At 42.7% G+C, this 9,490-nt stretch overlaps 1 protein-coding gene and 1 pseudogene across 1 annotated transcript in view; one reads left to right on the top strand and one right to left on the bottom strand.

The window, feature by feature from the left end:
• The window catches only part of SNX24 (sorting nexin 24), a 183,706-nt gene that overhangs the window by 168,147 nt on the left and 6,069 nt on the right, over positions 1-9,490 (top strand). The gene's annotated exons all lie outside the window — the stretch shown is intronic.
• On the bottom strand, positions 8,730-9,024 carry RN7SL689P (RNA, 7SL, cytoplasmic 689, pseudogene; annotated as a pseudogene).

Below are 9,490 nucleotides of genomic sequence, written 5' to 3' on the forward strand. Positions count from 1 at the left end.
CAATATTCTATGTCATTTAGATACTCCTATGAACTCCTATGTACTGAGTTTCTACTGGATGTCATGTATTGTTGGACTAGGGTTTTGCATATTTTATCACGTTAAGTTCTTTACAGAGTAGTTTTTAGTGCCCCATTTTACTGAAGAAGAAATTGAAGATCAGAGACATTAATAAAAATAGTAGCTAACATGAATGAATACTAATTTAGGGGCCAAGAGGCACTGGGCTAAATCATGTTAATGGACCATCTCATTGAAGCTTCACAACATCTTTAAAAATGTGTGTATTCTTATTCCAATTTAAAGTGATTAAAAGGAAGCTTAGAGAAGTGAAATAGCTTGACCAAGGATACCAGTTAATAAAGCTTGGGCGAATCCAGTCCCTAATCAGCCTCACAATAGAATTGTATTTATGTGCTTTTTTGGAGATGGGGTCTCCCACTGTTGCCCAGGCTGGAGTACAGTGGCATGATCTCGGCTTACTGCAGTCTCCACCTCCTGGAAACAAGCAATCATCCCACCTCAGCGTACCAAGTAGCTGGGACTACAGGCACACGCCACTGTGCCCAGCTGATTTTTTTTTTTTTTTTTTTTTTTTTTTTTGTAGAGACAGGGTTTCACCATGTTGCCCAGGCTAGTCTTGAACTCCTGGGCTCAAGCAATCCTCCCATCTCAGCCTCCCAAAGTGCTGGGATTATAGTTGTGCGGCCTATGTGCAATTCTGAACCAGACATGAACGCTTAAATCAGAACTAGTATTGCAATAGCTGCTAATATTTCCACAATGTTATAAATTGCAAAGTGCTTTCCCATCTCACTTGATTAAACCAAGCTCCATGCTAACAGCAGCCTCCTCCCAGGGCTCTTTGATTTCATTTTTACTGCAGTCCATTCTCGACACAAAAACCAGGGTGATCTTTTTAAAATGTTGATCAGATCATATCACTCTCTTGCTCAAAGTTTTCCAGTAGATTCCATTCCCACTAAGAAAAACATTTAAATTTCTGCTGCCCTCTCCGAGTTCTTTCTACATTCTTCCTGCAGGTGCTTACTGGCAACAGTGGCCTTTCAGTTCCTAGAACATGCCAACCTTGGTCTCTCCACAAGACCTTTGGACCTGCCAGTCTCTGCCTGAAACCCTTTTCATCCTTCTTCAAAGGCTGACTCATTCTCACCCATTAGGTATCAGCTTAAATGTCATCTTTTCAAAGAGTTCTTCTTCAGTCACCCCATCTAAAGTAGCACCCTAGGCCCCACTCCATACCATTATTCTATTGTTGCTTCCTTCAGAGCTGCTATCACCATCTGAAGTTATCCTGTTTATTTGTGAACTTGTTACTGCCTTTCTCCTTCAAAGAATGTGAACTCCATCAGAGCAGGGGTAGCGTCTGACTTGTGAACAGTTTCTCTAGTGTGAGGCCCAGAGTCAATGTGAAGAACAACTGTTGAATGGGTGGGTGGATGGCAGCCTATGTTCTGGCCCCCAGTTCAGTGCTGGCTGCATATTCCATAGCAGGGGTTTCAGAACTGTGTTTTGAGTAAATGACCTTGAAATCAAGATTGGCTAACATCTTCCCGGATTCCAGGTGTGATTTGTTACATCCTCCTTGTTCTGAAAACAGTGACTGTGTATAGTTTGCTCACCAGTCTGACAAAGAGTGGTTAATGGATTATGTAACTACATATTTGGATGATCTCTTAAATGTCTATTCTTTTTACAAATACCTAAGCTAATTCAGTGTTTATAAACCATAGCTTCGTGACACCCCAGGACAGTGGTTTTCAAAGTGTGAACTCTGAACCAGTAGCATCAGCATCACCCAAGAACTCTGTACAACTTTTCAGGCCCTACCCCAGACTTGCTGAATCAGGCAGTCTGGAGAGCTGACTAGCCCTCCGGGTGATTCTGATGCACCATAAAGTTTGAGAACCACAGTCCTAGGGCACTTCAAATTATTTTCATATTGTGCATTTTTAAATGTTCAATTTCTTTTTAATTAAAAAAGAAAAAAAAACACCTCAATACTTCTAGAAGGAGCGGGCACAAAATCAAACAGAATGCCAGCATGGCTACTGCAAGAAGCTGGTGACTTTGTAGTGGGGGTTTCAGGCATGAGCCACCCTTTAAGGCAGCAGTCCAGTGCTCAGCAACTCAAGCAAATAACAGGATGACTGGACAAAATAAGTAAGGTATTTTAAATGTAATAAAAAATATACCATTCACTTAGAAATTGCCATATTTTACATGAATTTTATACCTAGTTATAGTAACTTTTCTTCATCACAGCAGGCAACATGGTGTTTTTCTAAAACCTTGGTATCTTTCCAAATTCGACCTTGGTAAACTAGAATCCTTGCCCTTATGAAACTTACAGAATAATGTGATATTGGCTGGATAAATACTTGAACAATTGTAATTATAAAGTATGTGTTAAGTGTTGATGAAGGAAAATAAGAAGGTTTACTTGTACATAGGTAAGATACCTAGATTTGGGCAGGCAAGGGCCCTTCTCTGAGATAGTGACATTGAAGTTGAGACCTAAAGAATATTGGAGGAATTAGCCAGGAAAAGCAACAGGGAAGGGGAAGGGTGTTGCAGGGACATCAGCAAGTTACAAAGCCCCAAATCAGAAGAGAGCTTCAGTCAAGGTCCTGAAGGAAAGCCAGTGAGCCTGGAGGATAATGAGGGGCTACGGCTAGTGAGGTGGGCAAACTATGCAATTTAGGGTAATGTATATAATGGCTCACACTTTATCTGAGTTATTTTTAAAAGACTACTGCAGTTGCTTGTGAAGAGTGGACTGGACAGGCTCAGGATTTGAAGCAGAGAGACTTAGGAGGCCACTTGAGTAGATGAGAAGTGACCTGGTGTAGGGTGGCAGCAGTGGAGAGGATGAGATACAGAGATTCAGGATGTATTGCAGCGCTATAAGTGAACTCGCTGATGGATTTGGATGTGGAAGGTAAAGGGAAGGGAGGAAGAAGTGAAGGATGGGTTTCTGGCTTGAACAACTGGGTGGATGTTGGTGCTATTCATGGATGGAGGTTGGAAGGGTGGGACTCCTATCTTTAGGAAGCTCAGGGAGCTCCACGTGGCTGGAGAAATCCTTTCCTGGGCCTTGTTTCCTCTATAGTTCAGACACTTCCACTTCCCATTTCCAGGATATCTGCAGCTGTTTGAAAGTAAAACTAGATGCAACACAGACCCATCAGCAGAAGGAAATGAGCCTAGGTTTTTCCCACCATGGTGACAGATTTTTGCAGAACCATTTCCAACTTTTTCCCCAGTTTAATCTGGTCAGGAACAAAGCAGAGCACCGAGATCAAACCTGTGACTTTGTCCTCAGTCAATACATCATACTGCTACCGAATTCACAAGTGGTGAACGGTATGATTGTATATAATTGCTTCATGGGGCCCCAGGAGTGCCACATAAATCACCCAACAAATGGGGATTCGAATTTAATGGTTTGCAGAGTGGATGCCATGCTTCACAGTACCTAAGACTCTAGGGAGGGTGGTTCCTTCTCACCTCTTAGGTCAAATCTCACCTGCTCCGCTCATGTGCACCTCCCCTGGGCCTTTCCTCTTGCCATCTGCCACTCACCTCATTTTTGCCAGTCTACTTCTGTCATGCCCTTCAAACCTCAATTCAGAAAATAAAAAGTTGTTTTTTTTTTTTTTTAAGATAAGTCTTTTGAAAAATAGTAGAAATAGCTGAAAGGCAAGTCCAGTGTTTGACAATCTTCAGGGGCTTGAGGGATTATAAGTACCTCATAGTCTAAATTTGAGCATATTCTTTTTGGCCATTTTGATAGGGTTTGGCTGTGTCCCCACCCAAATCTCATCTTGACTTGTGGCTCCCACAGTTCCCTCGTGTTGTGGGAGGGACCCGGTGGGAGGTGGTTGAATTGTAGGGGGTGGGTCTTTCCCATGCTGTTCTCATGGTGATGAATGAGTCTCAGGAGATCTGATGATTTTGTAGGGGAGAGTTTCCCTGCATCAGCTCTCTTCCCTTGTCTGCTACCATATGAGACGTGCCTTTAACCTTCCACCATGATTGTGAGGCCTCCCCAGCCTCATGGAACTGTGAGTCCATTAAACATCTTTCTTTTGTAAATTGCCCAGTCTTGGGTACGTCTTTATCAGCAGCATGAAAAGGGACTAATATACATTTATTCTGAACATACTTACTGAACATTAATTAGGTGTGAAATACTCTGTCTGGGGGTAGATTATGAATGAGATCTAATCCTTGCCCTAGAGAGGAGCTTCCAGTCCAGGGAGGAGATGGGAGACACCAGGGCCATAAGCAGGTACAGCTCAGAGTAAGGAAGCATCTGGAGATGGCTTCCCAAAAGAGCCCCACATTGAGTACCCAGGGATGGCCAGTGGCAAGCAGAGAGCACCTCACACAAGGCTTGGAGCCAATTCAGGAGTTCTGAAGTCTTTGTAAGAGAGGCTATGCTTCAAGCAGACACGGTTAAATCAAGTCTGGAGTTTCTGTGCCCTAGGCTGACCAGTTCTTCCTCCTTTACCCTGGACAGTTTGTCAGAGTGCAGCTCCTGGTGTCCAGCAGAGGCACCGGAAGCAGGCTTGTCTTTTAAGACCAGGGAAGAAAAACGGTCATTTTCAAATAGAGATATCTGGATCCTGGAAATAGATCCAGGATATCTATAACAGGACATAATGTTACCACCTCGGACAAATGGCGGCTGTAGTTTTAACAGCGCTTTGAAGGCCCACCATGCTCCAGGAAGAAAGTCCTCACATGCTCTGAAAAGTTAATGGGGGTGGAAACGTACCTGAAAACGTACCTGACTGCTAATAAAACTTTACAAGTGTGTAATAGAAGGGGTTTTGGTAATTTGGGTCCTCCAAATCCTCCAAATCTGTGAGTCCTCTGCATCCTAATCTAACTAGGGTGGGAATTTTTTTTTTCCTTTGACACAGAGTCTCGCTCTGTTGCCCAGGCTGGAGTGCAGTGGTGGGATATCGGCTCACTGCAACCTCCGCCTCCCGGGTTCAAGCAATTCTCCTGCCTTAGCCTCTCAAGTAGCTGGGATTACAGGTGCCTGCCACCATGCCCTGCTAATTTTTGTATTTTTAGTAGCAATGGGGTTTCACCATATTGGCCAGGCTGGTCTCGAACTCCTGACCTTGTGATCCGCCCGCCTCGGCCTCCCAAAGTGCTGGGATTACAGGCATGAGCCACCGCGCCTGGCCTAGGGTGGGATTTTAAAATTCATTTTGTATTAACTCTATTTGTCAGTTGGTCTTTTTTTCTGACTTGATTCCTGGGACTAGTCACTCCAATTCTGCATTAATGCCAGTTGTTTTTCCACCACTCTAGAATGTCAGTAACACTAGCAAACCTTGGAGGCACTTATGTTATATCACACCTAAAACTTACTCTTGGCCAAAATCTTAAATCCACAGGATGAATTACAGACTAAAGTAAAAGCCATTATGTACTTAATGGCACCAAAATTTTCCATTACAAATACTGTTTTTAATTCTTCTTTAATTTGAAAAAAAAAAAAAAGAAGTGCCTTGAGGGGCTTTGAATTTCCAAGCTTTCTAGATCAAAGATTTCTTCAGCTCTCTGGATTATAGGAATGTTGAAAAACAAAAACAAATCATTTTCCTGCTGTAAAATCCTTGCCATGTTTTTGTCTTTATGTAACTCAAAACGGCTAAACTAAGAAATGAGGTTGGTGAGTCCTGTTCAAAATTCATCAGAAATAAAGTAATTGATAATTCCAAAAGTGTCATTCCAACTAATTGACCCAAAAGTAAATTTTACTGAACTCTTATTTGATGATCCAGAAAACTGCTAAAGAGCACTTGTAAGAGAACAAAATAAATTATGGCTAAGAATACCAAAATATTTTAAAGTGTTGATTAAAGTGATTCAAGACTAAATTATAATAATTTGGGCTTGGTGGTGGTGTCCAGTGTAAATTTCCCTCTGATTCCACATCCGCCCACAACTATAAATGTGTCCTTCTAGTAACGTGATCTGCAAAACAGTGAACTATTTATTTCAAAAGCTTTTGCAGAAAACATTAAAAAGTAACAGTTCCTATTTTCATAGTCATCAGTTTGCTCATGTTTTCTGTATGAGGCCTGACCCTTGGTGTACAAGAAATAAACTGCTTTTAGCAGGGGGATGTCCTTAGCTCTTGGTCATCTGGCATAACAGGTAACATGATAATTTACCACTGGTGCACTAGTGGGTTCAGAATTTCAGCACTTCCAAAATGAAGCACTTTTTGCCTTGTTACTAGAGAGAAGTCAGGTATGCTCACAGTAGTGAAAAAACTAGATGGCATGTATCGCGTAAAGCGCATGTCCTTCTGCATGGGGGAGAGTGGTGTCTATGTGCTCTTGGACATTGTGATGTAAAGCACTTTTGCATGTACAAGAGGTCATTTGTTTCCAATTTTTCCTCCATGTTATCTTTATTTAAAATTAAAGAGAATTGTTTTCTTTTTCTGATTATTAAAAAGAAATGTACCCTAGAGAAAAATTAAAAACTGAAAAAAGTAAAACTATAGTTAAAAAATCCCACCATTTGCATTTACTTATGTGAATTTGCATTTTGTTGTATTTGCTTTATGAGAATGTGTTTACATAATTGAGATCATGCTGCATATAGAACTTCTGCTTTTTCTTTAAAACAATCATTTTCTCATGTTACTCTGAGTTCTCTAACATCAGTCTTAATGAATGCATACTATTCTATTATGGGATGTGTGTTTTATAACCATTTTGGGACATTGAAGTTGCTCCCAGTATTTTGCTACCATAAATATTCTGCAATTCACATCTTTACACATAAAAAATTTTCAATATTGCTATATTTGGTGAAGACTTTTAGGTTGCAAGTCAAAGGAAATCAGTTTGCCTTGGCTTGAGAAAAAAGAAAATGTATTAGTTTACGCAGCGAAAAGCTAAGTGTGGATTAGCTTTGGGCACAGCTGGACACAGCAGCTAAATGATGTTTGTTTTCGGAACCTTTCTGTCTTCTGGGCCACTTCCTTCTGTGCTGGCTTCGCTCTTAGGCCTGTTCCTTTACATTCTTTCAGAAAGATGGCAGCTCTTTCCCAATCATTCTGGAAGTCCAATGATGGCTCATTCACATGACTGAGGTCCAGCACCTAGGCCTGAGCCAGTCACTGGAGCCAGGGCAAGGGAATGTTCTGGATGGCCAACAGGACAGCCCTGCTCCCTCTTGCACCTCCCCTGCTCTGTTCATCTGGCCCCTTTGCTGTTTCCTGAGCCCACCCAGCCTGCCCATCACTGATGACCACTGTTCCTATCCTCTCTGCCTCCACACAGTTCCCCCCCCGTCCCCATGGCTTGGTGCTCCCTCACTTCCTTCAGTCCCCGCTGACCACCCCTTCACTGTCTATTCGCTTTCTCTGACTTCACTGACTTATTGCTCCCTGATGTTGTGTTATATATTCATGTAGTATAATTTGTCACCTTCACAAGAACCACAAGGGGTGACACCATTTGTTTACAGCTCTATCCCACCCTACAATATTGATAATATTTATCAAGTGAGTTAATGAACGAGTCTGCCAGGCCAGGTGTGTACCCATCTGTAGGGTCAGCCCACCCTAAGGACTAGAGATGGGTGAGGGAAGGATGTGATTTCTCAAAAGAAAAATAAGAAATTGGGCAGCCATCACCAGAGCAAGTGGACTAAATGCCAGGCTGACCAAAACACTGATGATCTCCCTTACAATTTTGGATCACTTTCTAAAGCCAGTCCCAGGAGTGAGAAATTCCAAAAAGTTATAAATGTTTGGGTTTCCTGATAAGGACTGCTTCCACTTTTAGCCCTACAAAAATTCTCCTTATAGCAGATAAAATAATAATTCTTAGACGCAGAGCATCACATCATGCCCCTCCGCAACTTCAAACAGATAACCCTTCCGTGTACCATGACCAAAGACTCACCCTGGCACCCAGGCCCAAACTGGTCCAGTCTCAGCCTTACCTCTGACCGCGCCCCTATCCCGCTCCCCTTTCTGCACCAGGCCCTAACACACTGGCTTTCTCTTCTGCCCTGGAATTCACTCATCTTTATCTTGGGACCTTCATATTTTCTCTTCCTTCCTCCTGGAAGGCCCTTCTTGCTGCTTCCTACCCTTCCTTCAGGCCTTAGCACAAATGCCATCCCTCCAGAGGCCCAAGAGAACCAAGAGGGGCCCAAGAGGCCTTCCACTCCGACGATGCTTCTCTCCCGGCCTCTCTGGCAGACATGGGCATATTTTTTTTTCACAGCACTCATCACCCTTTTTATTTGTTTCCTTGTTTATTCTCTGTCTTCCCCCACTAGACTGTAAGCCCCATGAGGCCCTTTTCTGTCCATTGTTGTATCCCCAAAAGTCAAACTGGTACTTGGCAGATCAAAGACCCTCAAAAAATATTTGTTGGAAAAAAATTAACAAATTGCTCTCCAAGAGTGTTGTAGCAATTTGCAAATCAGCAGTAGGAATACTCAGTTCATCTCTCACTGAGGCAATTTTTTTAGAATACAACTCGGTGAGATGGATCCTCACTGCTTGAGTCCTGGAGGAGAAGCAATGGCACTGTTTTCTAACAGACAACACTTCCCATCTGAACAGAGATCAAGCACTCTCTATTATAGCCAGGTATGTTATAACAAGGCCCCTGTAGAATTTCACTTTCCCATTAGTTTTTTTTTTTTTTTTAAGATGGGGTCTTGCTATGTTGCCCAGACTGGAGTGCAGTGGCAATTCACAGGCATGATCCCACTACTGACCAGCACAGAAGTTTTGACCCACTCTGTTTCCAACCTGGGCCAGTTCACCCCTCCTTAGGCAACCTGGTGGTACCATGCTCCCCAGTGGCCACCATATTGATGCCAAACAGTATAGATACCCCATCAGTATAGCTCACTATAGCCCCGAATTCCTGGGCTTAAGTAATCATCCCACCTCAGCCTCTTCAGTAGCTGGGACCACAGACATGTGCCACCACATCTGGCCTCATCTAGTTTAAATATAGCCTGAGTGGGTTTTGTTGTTGTCGTTGCTGTTTGAGACAGGGTCTCACTCTGTTGCCTGGGGCAATCACAGCTCACTACAGCCTTGATCTCCTGGACTCAAGCAATCCTCCCACCTCAGCCTCCTGAGTAACTGGAACTACAGATGTGCACCAACATGACCAGCTAATTTTAGTTTTGTTAGAGACAGGGTCTCACTATGTTGCCCAGGCTGGTCTCAAACTCCTGGGCTCAAGCAATTCTCTTGTCTCAGCCTCCCAAAGTGCTGGGATTATAGGCATGAGCCACCATACCCAGGCCTTATAGCCTGAGTCTTAATCCCCTTATGTAAGTAACAAAAAATATTCCTATTGCAACTGGGCTAAAGATAACTTTCTAAAAATGTTACATTGAATAACAATAAGTAAATAATCACCTTAAGTATATGAGATGTGGATGGGCATAATTT

This window comes from Homo sapiens, chromosome 5 (genome assembly GCF_000001405.40).
Source record: "Homo sapiens chromosome 5, GRCh38.p14 Primary Assembly".
Lineage (NCBI taxonomy): Eukaryota > Metazoa > Chordata > Mammalia > Primates > Hominidae > Homo > Homo sapiens.